The sequence below is a fragment of the Homo sapiens genome, chromosome 22 (assembly GCF_000001405.40).
Source record: "Homo sapiens chromosome 22, GRCh38.p14 Primary Assembly".
NCBI classification, from domain to species: Eukaryota; Metazoa; Chordata; class Mammalia; order Primates; family Hominidae; genus Homo; species Homo sapiens.
In genome coordinates, this window is record NC_000022.11 from 39057949 (window position 1) to 39075583 (window position 17635).

Below are 17635 nucleotides of genomic sequence, written 5' to 3' on the forward strand. Positions count from 1 at the left end.
GACTTCTCAGACCCTGTGGGAAAGGCCTCTACCCATCCAGTGAAAGTGTCTACACAGACCAAGAGGTATTTTAGTTTCCTGACTCAGGGCATGTGAGTAGTCAATTTGCCAGTCCTGGGCAGGGCCAAATCCCAGAGCTTGATGTGTAGGGAAGGGAGGGGGCCTGAACAATCCCTGAGGAGTAATAGAATAGCAGATGGAACACTGAGAAGTGATTTCCTTGAGGATAGATTTCCACAATGGAAAGGAAATGAGAGGTTCTAAGAGGCAGGCTAGTGGCATGTAACCTACATGGAAGAGGTTATGAAAGGACGACAGAATAGACTGGGCCTGTGAGGCTGGAAGGAGATATTTTTCTTGGTCCAAGAACCATTTGCCTTGTGTGGGAAGAGATTGATAGGTGGAAGTTTCGGTGGGGGAGTAGGTGGGAGTGACTGATGAGAAGGAGAAAAACCGGCCATGAGGGACAGAAGTTGGAATGCTAGCTGCTTCTTTAGCATTGCCCTGAGCGATGGGATCCGATGCCTTTTGATGGCCCTTGCAGTGAATGACTCCAGCTTCCTTTGGAAGTAAAGCAGCTTTAAGAAGACTTTTTATTAAGGAGGCATTGATGATGGAGGACCCTTGCGTAGTGAGGAAACCTCTTTCTGCCCATATAACAGCATGGTGGTACAGGATATGGAAGGCATATTTAGAGTCAGTATAAATATTGATGTGTAGTCCCTTTGCAAGAGTGAGGGCCTGAGTTAAGGCAATGAGTTTGGCTTGCTGAGAAGTAGTGGAGTGGGGCAGAGTGGTAGCCTCAAGGATAAATATGGAAGATACTATAGCATAGCCTGCCTTTGCTGGTGAGTGGCAATTAGGCCTGATGGAACTGCCATCAATAAACCAAGTGTGATCAGGGTGAGGAACAGGAAAGAAGGAAATATGGGGAAATGGAGTGAATGCCAGGTGTATCAGAGAGATACAGTCATGGGTGTCAAGTGTGGTATCAGGAATAATGTGGGAGGCCAGATTGAAGTCTGGGCCAGGAACAATGGTAATTTTGGGAGACTCAACAAAGAGTGAGTATAGCTGAAGGAGCCGGAGAGCAGAAAGTATATGCATCAGGTGTGAGGAAGAAAATAGATTTTGGAAGTTATAAGAACTGTAGAGAGTGAGTTGAGCACAGTTTGTGATTTCAAGGGCCTCTAAAAGTATTAAGGCAGTGGCAGCTGCTGCACAGAGACATGATGGCCAGCCTAAAACAGTAAGGTCAAGTTGTTTGGACAAAAAGGCTACAGGGCACAGTAGCCTTGTGTAGGAATCCTGGTCCTTGTGTAAAAATTCCGACTGCACAGCCCTGTACTTTGGCTGTGTGTAATGAAAAGGGTTGGGATGAGTCAGGGAGAGCTAGTGTGGGAGCAGTCTCTAAAGCTGTCTTCAAGGAACGGAAAGAGGAGTAGGGAAAGGATTTAGGATCTATGGGGTCAGCTAGGTTTCCCTTTATGAGTTTACATTAGGTTTTGTTAGTACGGCAAAACCAGGTATCCAAAGATGAAAGTATCCAACCATGCCCAGGAAGGAAAGAAGTTGTTTTTTTGTAGAAGGGGTTGGAGTTTGAGAGATTAGCCAGACATGATTGGCAGGGAGAACATGCATGTTTTCATGAAGAATTATGCTGAGGTAGGTAACGGATGGGGAAGAAATTTGAGCTTTGGAGGGGGGATACCTGATATCCTCTGGAGAATAAATGTTGAAGGAGCAGGAGGGTATCTTACTGAGAAGACTCAAAGGAGGGACTACAAAGTAAAAGGTCATCCATGTATTGAATAAGGTGGGAAGCAGAGGGGTGGAAAGAAAGTAAATCACGAGAAAGGGCTTGGCTGAAGTAATGAGGGCTGTCCCTGAAGCCTTGTGGCACTATAGCCCAGGTAAGCTGCTGGGACTGACGTGTGTCAGGGTCAGTCCAGGTAAAAGCAAAGAGAGGCTGGGATGAAGGGTGCAAAGGAATAGTAAAGAAACCATGTTTGAGATCCAGGACAGAATAATGGGTTGTGGAGGGAGGTATTGAGGATAGGAGAGTATATGGATTTGGCACCATAGGGTGGATAGGCAAGACAATGTGGTTGATAAGGCACAGATCCTGAACTAACCTATAAGGCTTGTCCAGTTTTTGCACAGGTAAAAGGGGGGAATTGTAAGGAGAGTTTATAGGCTTTAAAAGGCCATGCTGTAACGGGTGAGTGATAACAGGCTTTAATCCTTTTAAAGTGTGCTGTGGGATAGGATATTGGCATTGAGCAGGGTAAGGGTGATTAGGTTTTAATGGGATGGTAAGGGGTGCATGATCAGTCACTAAGGAGGGAGTAGAGGTGTCCCATACTTGTGGATTAAGGTAGGAAGACACAAGGGGAGGACGTGAAGGAGGCTCTGAACTGGGGAAAAGGGCGGCAATGAGGTGTGGCTGTAGCCCAGGAGTAGTCAGGGAAGAAGAAAATTTGGTTAAAGTGTCCTGACCTAATAAGGGAGCTGGGCAGGTGGGGATAAATAAAAAAAGAGTGCATAAAAGAATGTTGTCCAAGTTGGCGCCAGAGTTGGGGAGTTAAGAATGTTGTCCCAGTTGGCGCCAGAGTTGGGGAGTTTTAAGAGGTTTAGAAGCCTGGCTGTCAATACCCACAACAGTTATGGAGGCAAGGGAAACAGGCCTTTGAAAAGAAGGTAATGTGGAGTGGGTAGCCTCCGTATTGATCAAGAAGGGGACAGACTTACCCTCCACTGTAAGAGTTACTCAAAGCGTCCGTGATGGTCCAGGAGGCTTCTGAGGCAATCGGACAGCGTCAGTCTTCAGCCACTAAGCCGAGAAGATCCGGGAAGGAGTCAGTCAGAGAACCTTGAGCCAGAGTTCGAGGGGCTCTGGGACTGTCTGCTGGGCGAGTTGGACAGTCCGATTTCCAGTGGGGTCCTGCACAGGTGGGGCATGGCTTAGGAGGAATCCTGGGCTGTGGGCATTCCTTGCCCCAGTGGCCAGATTTCTGGCACTTGAAGCAAGATCCTGGGGAAGGCAGTCCTGGAGGAATGCCTGACCCTTGCAGTTTAGGCGTTCTGAAGTTCTTGTGTGCTGGAGATGTGGCTGGGGTTTCTCTCACAGAAGAGGCAAGTAATCGCAACTCTTCTCTATTATTGTACACCTTGAAGGTGAGGTTAATTAAGTCCTGTTGTGGGGTTGAGGGCCAGAATCCAATTTTTGGAGCTTTTTCTAATGTCAGGAGCGGATTGGGTAATAAAATGCATATTGAGAATATGACGGCCTTCTGGCCCCTCTGGGTCTAGGGCGGTAAAGCATCTAAGGGTTGTTGCCAAACGGGCCATGGACTGAGCGGGGTTTTCATATTTGATGAAAAAGAGCCTAAACACTAACTGATTTGGGAGAGGTTGGGTAAAGAAAAAGGAGCATTAACCTTGGCTATGCCTTCAGCTCCAGCCACCTCTCTAAGAGGAAACTGTTGGGCAGGTGGGGGAGGGCTAGACGCAGAACAAAACTGTAAGCCAGACCCGGTGTGAGGAGGGGAAGTGATAGAAGGATTATAGGGTGGGGGAGCAGAGGCTGGCGAAGAGTTGGGACCTGGCTCAGCCTGGCGAGGAGCAGCCTGAGGAGAAGAGGAGAGGTCAGATGAGTCTGTGGAAAAGGAGGATTCAAAGGACTCAGAGCTTGGGGTGGAGACTGAAGGAACAGACAGGAGAGAAAGAAGAAAGTTTTGGGATGAGTCTCATCAGGAGCAGAGATTAGGAAGGGACTGAAGTGTAAAAGAATGCCTGGACATCAGATACCTCAGACCATTTGTCCATTTTATGACAAGAATTATCTAGATCTTGTGGGATGGAGAAATTGAAAGTGCCATTTTCTGGCTATTTGGAATCATTGTCGAGTTTGTACTGGGGCCAAGCGGTGTTGCAGAAGAAAATAAGACGCTTAGGTTTCAGTTCAGGTCTGAGTTGAAGAGGTTTTAAGTCTTTGAGAACACAGGCTAAGGGAGAAGAAGGAGGAATGGAGGGTGGAAGGTTGCCCATAGTGAAGGAGGCAAGCCCAGAGAACAGAGAGGGTAGAGACACGGAGAAGAGGGGGTAGTGAGCAGCCCTGGGCTGCAATGTGGGTGAGCAGCCAAAGCAGGCATCCCCACAATTGACTGACCACCAAGGGAATGTGGGTGAATAATCAGGCAGGCGTCCCCGTGGAGATCAGACACCAATGGAGTGTGGGTGAATAATCAGGCAGGCGTCCCCGCGGTGATTAAACACCAAGGAAAGGCTGTCTTCCCGAGTCCGTGACTGGCGCCGGAGTTTTGGGTCCATGGATAAAATGTGTCTCCTTGTCTCTACTAGAGAAGAAAAAGAACTGGAATTGGAAGGACAGGAAGATTGAAGGGTAGCGAGAGAGGAAGGCTGGAGGGTAGTGAGAGAGGCTGGAGAAGAGCGAAAAGACCACTTACCTGATTTGAAATTGGTGAGATGTTCCTTTGGCTGGTTGGTCTGAGGACCCGAGTTGTAGGTGGATCTCCTCACCCAGTGAAGGTGAGGACAGGGGACCGGTCTCCCGAAGGAGTCCTCCCGTCCCGAGTTTTGGCACCAAACGTCACGCACGTCTGTGTGAAGAGACCACCAACAGGCTTTGTGTGAGCAACAAGGCTGTTTATTTCATCTGGGTGTGGGCGGGCTGAGTCCGAAAAAGGACTCAGCAAATGGTGGTGGGATCATCATTAGTTCTTATAGGTTTGGGATAGGCGTACAAAGTACAGTCTCAAGAGTGGGGACAATATTACAAAGTACATTCTCAAGACTGGGGAGAATATTACAAAGTACCTTCTTAAGGGCGGGGGAGAATATATCATATCAGTTAGGGTGGGGCAGGAAAAAATCACAATGGTGGAATGTCATCAGTTAAGGTTATTTTCACTTATTTTGTGGATCTTCAGTTGCTTCAGGCCAGGTGGATGTATATGTGCAGGTCACAGGGGATATGATGGCTTAGCTTCAGCTCAGAGGCCTGACAGTCAGGAGTTCAAAACAAGCCTGGTCAACATGGTGAAACCCCGTCTCTACTAAAAATACAAAAAAATTAGCCAGGCGTGGTAGTGGATGCCTGTAATCTCAGCTACTTGGGAGGCTGAGGCAGGAGAATCGCTGGACCTTGGGAAGCAGAGGTTGCAGTGAGCCGAGATCATGCCATTGCACTCCAACCTGGAAGACAGAGTGAGACTGCATCTCAAAATAAAAATAAAAATAAATTAATCATCTGTTGGCTGGGTGTGGTGGCTCACACCTGTAATCTCAGCACTTTGGGAGGCCAAGGTAGGCGGATCACCTGAGGTCAGGAATTCAAGACCAGCCTGGCCAACATGGCAAAACCCCGTCTCTACTAAAAATACAAAAAGTAGCTGGGCATGGTGGCGGGCACATGTAATCCCAGCTACTCGGGAGGCTGAGGCTTGAATCGCTTGAACCAGGGAGGTAGAGGTTGCAGTGAGCCGAGATGGTGCCACTGCACTCCAGCTTGGGCAACGGAGTGAGACTCCGTCTCTAAAAAAATTAATTAATGAATTAATTAATCATCTGTTGAAAAGGACCTGTCTCCAAATACAACCACACATTGAGGTAGAGGGGTTAGGGCTTCAATATATTGATTTTTGGGAGAAACAGGGCAACATGGCAACAAGCCACAGTCACTGTGGGCGGGCCTGAGTGGGGAGTGCAGGGGTTCCTGTCCTGTGTGTCTGTCTCACAGGGGAGTCCCGACCTGACCCTCACAGCCCCTCCACCCAGACCTTCCTGCATGTTCCACCCAGCCCACCCTCCTGCACCCAAGAGCACCCAGCCCTCCCTCCTGCTCATGCCCCTCCCTTCTCAAATCCCTCCCAGCAGTGCAGCTCTGGGCTAGGACACAGCCTAGGGAACGTGACTGAGAAAGAGCCAAGAAAACTTGATCAGTGATCAAGTTGGTGTTTAAGTAAGATTTTCAATAAAAAGTAGAATTGGGTACTACATGGAGGCCTGAGATGTTCAGAGCTTTTTGAGAAAGCAGAACAGAAAGTAGAAGGGCAACCAGGAACCAGAGGTGCCAGAGAACCGGAAGCGCGGGCCCTCCGAGGAGACAGGGAGTGGGCACCTGGGTCTTGGGCCTGTCGACAAACAGAGTCAAACTCTGTAAAATATTTGAAGAGACGTATTCTGAGCCAAATACGAGTGACCATGGCCCGTAACACAGGGCTCAGGAGGTCCTGATAACATGTGCCCAAGGTGGTGGGGGTGCAACTTGGTTTTATATATTTTAGAGAGGCAAGAGCTATCAATCAAATACATTTGAGAAATACAGGAGCTGGGTACAGTGGCTCATGCCTGTAATCCCAGTGCTTTGGGAGGCTGAGGTGGGTGGATCATGAGGTCAGGAGTTCGAGACCAGCCTGGCCAACACAGTGAAACCCTGTCTCTACTAAAAATACAAAAAATTAGCCGGTGTGATGATGTGCACCTGTAATCCCAGCTACTCAGGAGGCTGAGGCAGGAGAATCACGTGATCCTGGGAGACGGAGGTTGCAGTGAGCCGAGATCACGCAAGGGCACTCCAGCCAGGGCGACGGTGTAAGACTCCATCTCAAAAAAAAAAGAAAGAAATACATTGGTGGCTGGACACAGCAGCTCACGCCTGTAATCATAGCACTTTGGGAGGCCGAGCCAGGTGGATCACGTGGGGTCAAGAGTTTGAGACCAGCCTGGCCAACATGGCAAAACCCTGTCTCCACTGAAAATACAAAAATTAGCTGAGTGTGGTGGTGGGCGCCTATAACCCCAGCTACTTGGGAGACTGAGGCAGGACAATTGCGTGAACCCAGGAGGCAGAGGTTGCAGTGAGCCAAGAGCATGCAACTGCATTCCAGCCTTGGAGACAGAGCAAGACTCTGTATCAAAAGAAAAGAAAAGAAATACATTGGTTTGGTTCAGAAAGGTCGGATGACTCAAAGTAAGGGGAGGGGGTTTGGGGGGCTTCCAGGGTACAGGTAAATTTAAATATTTTGTGGGCCAGGCACAGTGGCTCACACCTGTAGTTGCAGCACTTTCGGAGGCTGAGGCAGGCGGATCACGAGGTCAGGAGATAGAGACCATCCTGACTAACACGGTGAAACCCCATCTCTACTAAAAACACAAAAAATTAGCTGGGCGTGGTGGCGGTCGCCTGTAAGCCCAGCTGCTCGGGAGGCTGAGGCAGGAGAATGGCGTGAACCCAGAAGGCAGAGCTTGCAGCGAGCCGAGATCGCACCACTGCAGTCCAGACTGGGTGACAGAGCAAGACTCCATCTCAAAAACAAACAAACAAAAAACATTTTCTGGTTGACGATTGGTTGAGTTTGTCTAGAGACCTGGCATCCATAGAAAGGAAACGTTCAGGTTAATATAAAAGATTGTGGAGACCAAGGTTCTTTCGAAGTCTCATAGTGGCTGCCCTTAGAGACAATAGATGACAAATGTTTCCCATTCAGGTCTTTAAAAGGTGCAATTAGTTAATATGTTTAGGACTGGGAAGGTCTGGAAGAAAAAGATCCAGCTATATTAATAGAGATTCTTTACAGATGCAAATTTTCCCCCACAAAGGACAACTTTGCAGGGCCATTTCAAGATATGTCAAAGAAACATGATTTGGGGTAAAATGTTTTGTCTTCTTTGTCACGTAATTTTGTGCCTGAGTCAGACTGGAAAATATCTCACAATATATAGGGTTAAATAAAACCCATCTGGGCCGGGTGCAGTGGCTCATGTCTGTAATCCCAGCACTTTGGGAGGCCTAGGTGCGTGGATCACCTGAGGTCAGGAGTTCGAGACCGGCCTGGCCAACATGGTGAAACCCCATCTCTACTAAAAATACAAAAATTAGCTGGGCGTGGTGGCGGGTGCCTGTAATCTCAGCTACTTGGGAGGCTGAGGAAGGAGAATCGCTTGAACCAGTGAGGCAGAGGTTGCAGTGAGCCAAGACTGCACCATTGTACTCTAGGCTGGGCAAGAAGAGTGAAACTCAGTCTTAATTAAAATAAAATGAAATAAAATAAAATAAAAATAGAAGCCATCTGATGAGGATATATGCTTGGTAGGGCATGACTCCCCAGACCTCTTAGATAGTGTCACACACGTCCGTGTGAAGAGAGTCCACAGTAGGCTTTGTATGAGCAACAAAGTTATTTATTTCACTTGGGTGCAAGTGGGCTGAGTCCGGAAAGAGAGTCAGCAAAGGGAGATAGGGGTGGGGCAGTTTTATAGGATGTTGGTGGGCAGTGGAAAATTACAGTCAAAGGGGGTTTTTCTCTTGTGGGCAGGGGCAGGGCTTACAAGGTGCTTGGTGGGGGAACTTCTGAGACTCATTGTCCAGGAGAAATAACTTCACAAGGTAATGTCATCAGTTAAGGCAGGAACCGGCAATTTTTACTTCTTTTGTGGTTTTTCAGTTGCCTCAGGCCATCTGGATGTATTTGTGCAGGCTTGGGCTCAGAGGCCTGACATTCCTGTCTTCTTATATTAATAAGAAAAATAAAACAAAATAGCGGTGAAGTGTTGGGGCAGTGAAAGTTTTTGGGGGTGGTATGGAGAGATAATGGGTGATGTTTCTCAGGGCTGGTTTGAGTGGGATTAGGGGCATCATGGGAGAGATTAAACTGAAGAAAGATTTTGGGGTAAAGGGTGATAAACCAAGTGTGATCAGGGTGAGGAACAGGAAAGAAGGAAATATGAGGAAATGGAGTGAATGCCAGGTGGATCAGAGAGATACAGTCATGGGGGTCAGATGTGGTATCAGGAATAATGTGGGAGGCCGGATTTAAGTCTGGGCCAGGAACAATGATAATTGTGGGAGACTCAACAAAGAGTGAGAACAACTGAAGGAGCTGGAGGTCAGAAAGTATATGTGTCAAGTGTGAAGAGAAAAATAGATTTTGAAATTTATGGGAACTGTAGAGAGTAAGTGGAGCATGAGCATAGCTTTTGATTTTGAAGGCCTCTAAAAGTATAAAGCAGCGGCAGCCACTGCACAGAGACATGTGGGCTAGCCCAGAACAGTAAGGTCGAGTTGTTTGGACAGAAAGGCTACAGGGTGCTGTCCCGGCTCTTGTGTAAATTCCGACCGCACAGTCTTGTACTTCGGCTGTGTGTAATGGAAAGGGTTGGGTTGAGTTAAGAAGCGCTAGTGTGGGAGCAGCTTCTAGGGCTGTTTTTAAGGCATGGAAAGAGGAGTGGGGAAGAATTTAGGATCTATGGGGTCACCTAGGTTTCCTTTTGTGAGTTTATGTAATGGTTTAGCCAGGATGGCAAAACCAGGTATCCAAAGGCAAAAGTACTTAACCATGCGTAGGAAGGAAAGGAGTTGTTGCTTTGTAGAAGGGGCTAGGGTTTGGGAGATTTGCCAGACACAATCAGCAGGGAGATCACGCGTGTTTTCATGAAGAATTACAGTGAGGTAGGTAACGGATGGAGACAAAATTTGAGCTTTGGAGGGGGATACCCGATATCCTTTGGAGAATAAATGTTAAAGGAGCAGGAGGGTGTCTTGTTGAGAAGATTCAAAGGAGGGGCTATAAAGTAGAAGATCATCAAAATATTGAATAATGTGAGAAGTAGATGGACGGAAAGAAAGTAAATCATGAGAAAGAACCTGGCTGAAGTAATGAGGGCTGTCCCTGAAGTCTTGTGGCAGGACAGCCCAGGTAAGCTGCTGGGACTGATGGTGTCAAGGTCAGTCCAGGTAAAAGCAAAGAGAGGCTGGTATGAGGGGTGCAGGGGAACAGTGAAAAAAGCATCTTTAAGATCAAGAACGGAATAGTGAGTTGTGGAGGAAGGTATTGAGGACAAAGAGTGTACGGGTTGGGCACCACCGGGTGGATAGGCAAAACAATTTGGTTGATAAGGCACAGATCCTGAACTAACCTGTAATACTTGTCCAGTTTTTGGACAGGTAGGACAGGAGAGTTGTAAGGAGAGTTTGTAGGCTTTAAAAAGCCATATTGTAACAGGCTGGTGATAAGAGGCTTTAACCTTTTTAAAGCCTGCTGTGGGTTGGGATATTGGCATTGAGCAGGATAAGAGTGATAGGGGTGGGACAGTTTTATAGGATTTGGGTGAGTAGTGGAAAATTACAGTCAAAGGGGATTTTTCTCTTGCGGGCAGGGGTGGGGGTTACAAGGTGCTTGGTGGGGGAGCTTCTGAGACTCATTGTCCAGGAGAACGGATTTCACAAAGTAATGTCATCAGTTCAGGCAGGAACCGGCCATTTTCACTTCTTTTGTGGTTCTTCAGTGCCTCAGGCCATCTGGATGTATACTCGCAGGCTGGGCTCAGAGGACTGACAGGTAGGAATTTGGGAAAGATAAAAAAAAAAAATCAGAGCTTAGTCCTCACGCCTATAACTAAAAATAGAATCCTTAGCCCCCACTTACCAACTTTGGCCCCTAGTGGCCAAAGGTATCTCAGAAAAACCTTAAAACTGAGTTCCTGGCCATGATGGGAGGGGAGGTCAGGCACGCCTCATTATCACCCCTCCCTTTTGCAGTTTAGACACAACTGACCAGCAGTAATGTTAAAACAGAATCATAAGACCGGCAGAACCAGAACAGACTCTTCATGGCAATCAGATACCAAATCACAACCAGGACCTCAGGCCGTGCCAGGCAAGGGTGAGGTCACACACCCTACACTTCAACAGTCAACTCTGTTCTGCCTGCCACAAGGTTTTTCTTTTGCTTGTTTAGCAGCTAAACAAGAACTGCCTCGAGATAAAGAAGATGAAAACAATCGCAGCTCATCCAGCGCGCTGACACGGAGCAACAGAGCCCCTGCTCCACAGCCCTAACTCCAGCTTTCCCTGGGCAAGAGACTGATTTCAGTAACTTCCTCCAGATCAGAAGACCACTGACAACAGACTGGTTCTGCATGGTTTACAGACCTGGCAAATTTCGGTGCCTTCATGTCCTGAAAAGACCCTTTGACATACAGGCTTAATTGTAGTACATTTAAATATTGTCCTTTAGGAGGCCGAGGTGGGTGGATCACGAGGTCAGGAGATCGAGACCATCCTGGCCAACATGGTGAAACCCCGTCTCTACTAAAAAGGCAAACATTAGCAGGGCGTGGTGGCGCACACCTGTAATCGCAGCTACTCAGGAGGCTGAGGCAGGAGAATCACTTGAACCCAGAATACAGACGTTGCAGTGAGCCGAGATCTCTCCACTGCACTCCAGCCTGGTGACAGAGTGAGACCCCATCTCAAAAAAAAAAAAAATTCCTCATGAGAGAGTTAAAGTTCGTCTTATTCTCACACTGAGATTTTGGAATGAGCTGTGTATTTTACACGTGCCAAAGTCTCTAATCAGAGCCCTATTTCAGGTGCTCAGTAGCTTCTGTGGTCAACCTTCAACTCCACGGGACAATGCTGTTCCAATGGCCTCCCCAGCAGAAGACAGGCAGGGAACAAGGCTGACCCCAGAGGGCCAGGCCACAGCAGGGGCTGAGGATGCCTGGTGAATGGATGCCTGGGAGAAAGGATGCCAGAATTCGTGCTCGAGGACATGATGAAACAGGGAAAGACTCAATAGAATAAAGAAGGAAGGGGACGGGTGCGGTGGCTCACGCCTGTAATTCCAGCACTTTGGGAGGCTGAGGCGGGCGGATCACGAGGTCGGGAGTTCGAGACCAGCCTGGCCAATACGGTGAAACCCTGTCGCTACTAAAAATACAACATTTAGATGGGCATGGTGTCACGAGCCTGTAGTCCCACCTACTTGGGAAGCTGAGGTAGGAAAATCCCTTGAACCTGGGAGACAGAGGTTGCAGTGAGACGAGATTGTGCCATTGCACTCGAGCCTGGCTACAGAGTGAGACTCTGTCTCAGAAAAAAATAAAAATTAAAAATAAAGAAGGAAGGAGAAGGATGGAAGCGAATCTCAATGAACAAAATGCACTGGGACCTACTATGTACCCAGAAAAATGAAAAGTAAATAAATAAAATAAGGACTTGCATGGTGGTTTATGCTCATAGTCCTAGAACTCTGGAACTCTGGAAGGCTGAGGCAGGAGGATCGCTTGAGCCCAAGAGTTTGAGATCAGCCTAGGCAACATGCGAAACCCATCTATACAAAAAGATATGAAAACATACAAAAAAAATTAGCCAGGTGTGGTGGCACGCGCCTGCAGTCCCAGCTAATCAGGAGGCTGAGGTAGGAAGATCCCTTGAGCCTGGGAGGTCAAGGCTGCAGTGAGCCCAGATCGCACCACTGCACCCCAGCCTGGGCAACAGAGAGAGACCCTGTCTCAAAAATAAATAAATAAGGAAATGCCCTGGGGCTCCAGGCCCACTCTCTGCTCCCATCGCCCCACTCCCGCACTCCTCCTGCTCCTAGTCTGAGCTCCCCCTGCCTTCCTCCTCCTCCTTCCCAGGTCAATCCTGAGACCCATAGTCATGCAGAAAGGTGCTTCCTCTCTTGGTTCTGCGACAACACACTGTCTCCTAACAAAAACTACCAGGTCACCTGGTACACATCTTGGAGCCCTTGCCCAGAGTGTGCAGGGGAGGTGGCAAGTTCCTGGCCAGGCACAGCAACGTGAAGCTCACCATCTTTGCCGCCCGCCTCTACTACTTCCAGTGTCCATATTACCAGCAGGGGCTCCACAGGCTGAGTCAGGAAGGGGCCTCCATGGAGTTCGTGGGCTACAAAGGTGAGACGTGGGGGGCTGAGGTGACTGGGTGCAGGAGGGACAGCATGGGGGGCAGATGGGTCTCCTGATATGGTGAACACCACCCGGACTGCGTGTATGTCCCAAATTACAATTCTTTCTTTGCGAATGACATGTGAAATTTAGAGGCTCTTCTCCACACTTTAAATTTGACTCAATATTTTCAAGGCAGATGTAAGTTATTAGAGAATGAGACTCTCTATAAAAATGACCCCTTCATGCTGTGGCCTCCACAGAAGATGCCCCGAGTCACGTGCCCACATGGCAGGCATTTATTTTCTCACAGATCTGGAGGCTGCAAGTACACGTTCGCGGGGTGGGTTGGGTTGTTTGCTCTGAGGCCGCTCCTCCTGGCTGGCAGAGAGTCTCTTCTGGCTGTGTCCTCTGTGGCCTTTCCTCTTTGCACCTGCACCTCTGGGATCTCTCTGCCTCCAAATATCAACTTTTTTTTTTTTTTGAGACAGAGTTTTGCTCTTGCTGTCCAGGCTGGAGTGCAGTGGCACAATCTCAGCTCACTGCTACCTCTGCCTTCCGAGTTCAAGCGATTCTCCTGCCTCAGCCTCCCCAGTAGTTGGGACTACAGGCATGCGCCACCACGCCCGGCTAATTTTGTAGTTTTAGTAGAGATGGGGTTTCTCCATGTTGCTCAGGCTGGTCTTGAACTTGTGAGCTCAGGTGATCCACCCTCCTCGGCCTCCCAAAGTGCTGGGATTACAGGTATGAGCCATTGTATCCAGGCTTTTTTTTTTTTTTTTTTTTTGAGAGGAGGTTTCACTCTGTTGCCCAGGCTGAAGTGCAGCGGTAGAATCACTGCTCACTGCAACCTCTGCCTCCTAGGTTCAAGCAATTCTCCTGCCTCATCCTCCTGAGTAGCTGGGATTACAGGTGCCCAGAACCACTCTACTAATTTTTGTGTTTTTTAGTAGAGATGGGGTTTCACCGTGTTGGCCAGGCTGGTCTCGAATTCCTGACTGCCCACCTCGGCCTCCCAAAGTGCTGGGATTAAAGGCATGAGCCAGGGCACTTGGCCACCCTTCTCCTTGATGGACCCCCGCCAAGCGAATTTGTGCCCACACTAGAGGTCTCGTTTAAAGTAATCATCTCGGCCGGGCGTGGTGGTTCACGCCTGTAATCCTAGCACTTTGAGAGGCTGAGGCCAGCAGATCACTTGAGGTCAGGAGTTGGAAACAAGCCTGGTCAACATGGTGAAACCCCGTCTCTACTAAAAATATAAAAAAATTATCCGGGCGTGGTAGTGGACGCCTGTAATCTCAGCTACTCCGGAGGCTGAGGCAGGCGAATCGCTGGAACCCGGGAGGCAGAGGTTGCAGTGAGCTGAGATCGTGCCATTGCACTCCAGCCTGGAAGACAGAGTGACGCTGCATCTCAAAAAGTAAATAAATAAAAAATAAAAAGAAATTAATTATCCGTTGGCTGGGTGCGGTGGCTCACGCCTGCAATCCCAGCACTTTGGGAGGCCAAGGCGGGTGGATCACCTGAGGTCAGGAATTCAAGACCAGCCTGGCCAACACGGCAAAACCCCATCTCTACTAAAAATACAAAAATTAGCCGGGCGTGGTGGCAGGTGCCTGTAATCCCAGCTACTCGGGAGGCTGAGGCTTGAATCGCTTGAACCAGGGAGGCAGAGGTTGCAGTGAGCCGAGATGGTGCCACTGCACTCCAGCTTGGGCAACGGAGTGAGACTCCGTCTCTAAAAATATTAATTAATGAATTAATTAATCATCTGTTGAAAAGGACCTGTCTCCAAATACAACCACACATTGAGGTAGAGGGGTTAGGGCTTCAATATATTGATTTTTGGGAGAAACAGGGCAACATGGCAACAAGCCACAGTCACTGTGGGCGGGCCTGAGTGGGGAGTGCAGGGGTTCCTGTCCTATGTGTCTGTCTCCCAGGGGAGTCCCGACCTGACCCTCACAGCCCCTCCACTCAGACCTTCCTGCGTGCTCCACCCACCTCATTCCTCCTACACCCAACAGCACCCAGCCCTCCTGCCTCCTCATGCCCCTCCCTTCTGAAATCCCTCCCAGCAGTGCAGCTCTGGGCTAGGACACAGCCTAGGGAACGTGACTGAGAAAGAGCCAAGAAAACACTCAGTGATGAAGTTGGTGTTTAAGTAAGATTTTCAGTGAAAAGTAGAATTGGGTACTACATGGAGGCTTGAGATGTTCAGAGCTTTTTGAGAAAGCAGAACAGAAAGTAGAAGGGCAACCAGGAACCAGAGGTGCCAGAGAACCGGAAGCGCGGGCCCTCCGAGGAGACAGGGAGTGGGCACCTGGATCTTGGGCCTGTCAACGAAGAGTCAAACTCAGTAAAATATTTGAAGAGATGTATTCTCAGCCAAATACGAGTGACCACGGCCTGTGACACAGCCCTCAGGAGGTCCTGAGAACATGTGCCCAAGGTGGTGGGGGTGCAGCTTGGTTTTATACATTTTAGAGGGGCATGGGCCATCAATCAAATACATTTAAGAAATACAGGAGCTGGGCGCGGTGGCTCACACCTGTAATCCCAGCACTTTGGGAGGCTGAGGCAGGTGGATCACGCGTTCAGGAATTCAAGACCACCCTTGCCAACATAGTGAAACCCCGTCTCTACTAAAAATACAAAAAATTACCCGGGTGTGGTGGTGTGCACCTGTAATCCCAGCTACTCGGGAGATTGAGGCAGAAGAATTGCATGAACCCAGGAGGCAGAGGTTGCAGTGAGCCAAGACCACACCACTGCACTCCAGCCTGTGGGACAGAGCAAGACTCTGTTCCAAAAAAAAAAAAAAAAAAAGAAAAGAAAAGGCCAGGCGTGGTGTCTCATGCCTGTAATCCCAGCACTTTGGGAGGCCAAGGCGGGCGGATCACGAGGTCAGGAGATGGAGCCCAGTCTGGCCAACATAGTGAAACCGCGTCTCTACTAAAAATACACAAAAAGTTAGCCGGGCGTGGTGGTGTGCACCTGTAAACTCAGCTAGTCAGGGGGCTGAGGCAGGAGAATCGCGTGAACCCGGGAGGCAGAGGTTGCAGTGAGCCAAGATTGCCCCACTGCACTCCAGCCTGGGCGACAGAGCAAGACACAATCTCAAAAAAAAAAAAAAAAAGAAAAGAAAAGAAAAAGAAAAAGAAAAAAGAAAAAAAGAAACAAAAAAAGTAAAGAAAAGAAATACATTGGTTTAGTCCTGAAAGGTCAGACGACTCAAAGTGAGGGAAGCGGGGTTGGGGGGCTTCCAGGCTACAGGTAAATTTAAACATTTTCTGGTTGAGGATGGGTTGAGTTTGTCTAGAGACCTGGCATCCATAGAAAGGAAATGTTCAAGTTAAGATAAAAGACTGTGGAGACCAAGGTTATTTTGAAGTCTCATAATGGCTGCCTTTAGAGATAATAGATGACAAATGTTTGCTATTCAGGTCTTTAAAAGGTCCAATTAGTTAATCTGTTTAGGACTGGGAAGGCCTAGAAGAAAAAGATCCAGCTATGTTAATAGAGGTTCTTTACAGATGCAAATTTTCCCCCACCGGGGACAACTTTGCAGGGCCATTTCAGATATGGCAAAGAAACATGTTTTGGGGTAAAATATTTTATCTTTCTTCTTTGTCACATAATGTTGTGTCTGAGTCAGATTGGAAAGTAACTCACAATATATAGGGTTAAATAAAACCCATTTGTGCCAGGCGCAGTGGCTCATGTCTGTAATCCCAGCACTTTGGGAGGCCGAGGCGGGTGGATCATCTGCAGTCGGGAGTTCGAGACCAGCCTGGCCAACATGGTGAAACCCCATCTCTACTAAAAATACAAAAATTAGCCAGGCATGGTGGCGGGGACCTATAATCCCAGCTACTTGGGAGGCTGAGACAGGAGAATCGCTTGAACCCGAGAGGCGGAGGTTGCAGTGAGCCGAGACCGCACCATTGCAGTCCAGTCCGGGCAAGAAGAGTGAAACTCGGCCTCCATTAAAATACAATAAGATAAAAAAATAAAAAATAGAACCCCTCTGATGAGGATGTATGGGTTGTAAGGCATGACTCCCCAGACCCCTTAGATAGGATTTTGGGCAAGATTAAATAAAACAAATCAGAGCTTAGTCCAAAGGCCTATGAACTAAAAATAAAGTCTTTAGCCCCCACCGATCCCCCCCAACTTTGGCCCCCAGTGGCCAGGGGTATCTCAGAAAAACCTTAAAACTGAGTTCCCAGCCATGATGGGAGGGGAGGTCAGGCACGCCTCATTATCACCCCACCCTTTTGCAGTTTAGACACAACTGACCAGCAGTAATGTTAAAACAGAATCATAAGACGGGCAGAACCAGAACAGACTCTTCATGGCAATCAGATACCAAATCACAACCAGGACCTCAGGCCGTGCCAGGCAAGGGTGAGATCACACACCCCACACTTAAACAGTCAACTCTGTTCTGCCTGCCACAAGATTTTTCTTTTGCTCTAGCAGCTAAACAAGCACTGCCTCCAGATAAAGATGAAAACAATCCCACCTCACCCAGCGCCCGGACACGGAGTAACAGAGCCCCTGCTCCACAGCCCTAATTCCTACTTTCCCTGAGCAAGAGACTGATTTCTGTAACTTTCTCCAGATCAGAAGACCACAGACCATGGACTAGTTCTGAATGGTTTACAGACCTGGCAAATTTTGGTGCCTTCATGTCCTGAAAGGACCTTTTGACATACAGGCTTAATTGTGGTACATTTAAATGTTGTCTCCACCGCAATGTGAGGACGGATAATACAGCTGCTTTTTTTTTTTTTTTTTTTTAATAGATTGTTGTTTGTTTGTTTTTTGTTTTGAGATGGAGTCTCACTCTGTCTCCCAGGCTGGAGGGCAGTGGTGCGATCTCGGCCCAGTGCAACCTCTGCCTCCCGGGTTCAAC

The 17635-nt window shown here is 48.4% G+C and overlaps 1 long non-coding RNA gene across 1 annotated transcript, besides 5 other annotated features; it reads left to right on the forward strand.

The window, feature by feature from the left end:
• Nucleotides 4483-4662: a silencer, noted in NCBI's record as "fragment chr22:39458436-39458615 (GRCh37/hg19 assembly coordinates)". NCBI's record gives its function as "represses an EF-1alpha promoter that drives an FKBP-Casp9 reporter gene in an ReSE screen in HepG2 liver carcinoma cells {active_cell/tissue: HepG2}" and the evidence as "EXISTENCE:reporter gene assay evidence [ECO:0000049][PMID:32094911]".
• LOC107985563 (uncharacterized) lies at nt 8379-12027 on the forward strand. The gene is made up of 2 exons (XR_001755547.2): nt 8379-8410; nt 10761-12027. It is a non-coding gene; the product is annotated as an uncharacterized LOC107985563 (long non-coding RNA).
• Nucleotides 9058-9157: a silencer, noted in NCBI's record as "silent region_13740". NCBI's record gives its function as "represses an Ori minimal core promoter by ATAC-STARR-seq in GM12878 lymphoblastoid cells {active_cell/tissue: GM12878}" and the evidence as "EXISTENCE:reporter gene assay evidence [ECO:0000049][PMID:35858748]".
• Nucleotides 11624-12127: an enhancer, noted in NCBI's record as "H3K4me1 hESC enhancer chr22:39465577-39466080 (GRCh37/hg19 assembly coordinates)". NCBI's record gives its function as "activates a minimal SCP1, AML or CMV promoter by ChIP-STARR-seq in naive H9 embryonic stem cells {active_cell/tissue: H9 hESC(naive)}" and the evidence as "EXISTENCE:reporter gene assay evidence [ECO:0000049][PMID:30033119]".
• Nucleotides 12128-12632: an enhancer, noted in NCBI's record as "H3K4me1 hESC enhancer chr22:39466081-39466585 (GRCh37/hg19 assembly coordinates)". NCBI's record gives its function as "activates a minimal SCP1, AML or CMV promoter by ChIP-STARR-seq in naive H9 embryonic stem cells {active_cell/tissue: H9 hESC(naive)}" and the evidence as "EXISTENCE:reporter gene assay evidence [ECO:0000049][PMID:30033119]".
• Nucleotides 14878-14957: a silencer, noted in NCBI's record as "silent region_13741". NCBI's record gives its function as "represses an Ori minimal core promoter by ATAC-STARR-seq in GM12878 lymphoblastoid cells {active_cell/tissue: GM12878}" and the evidence as "EXISTENCE:reporter gene assay evidence [ECO:0000049][PMID:35858748]".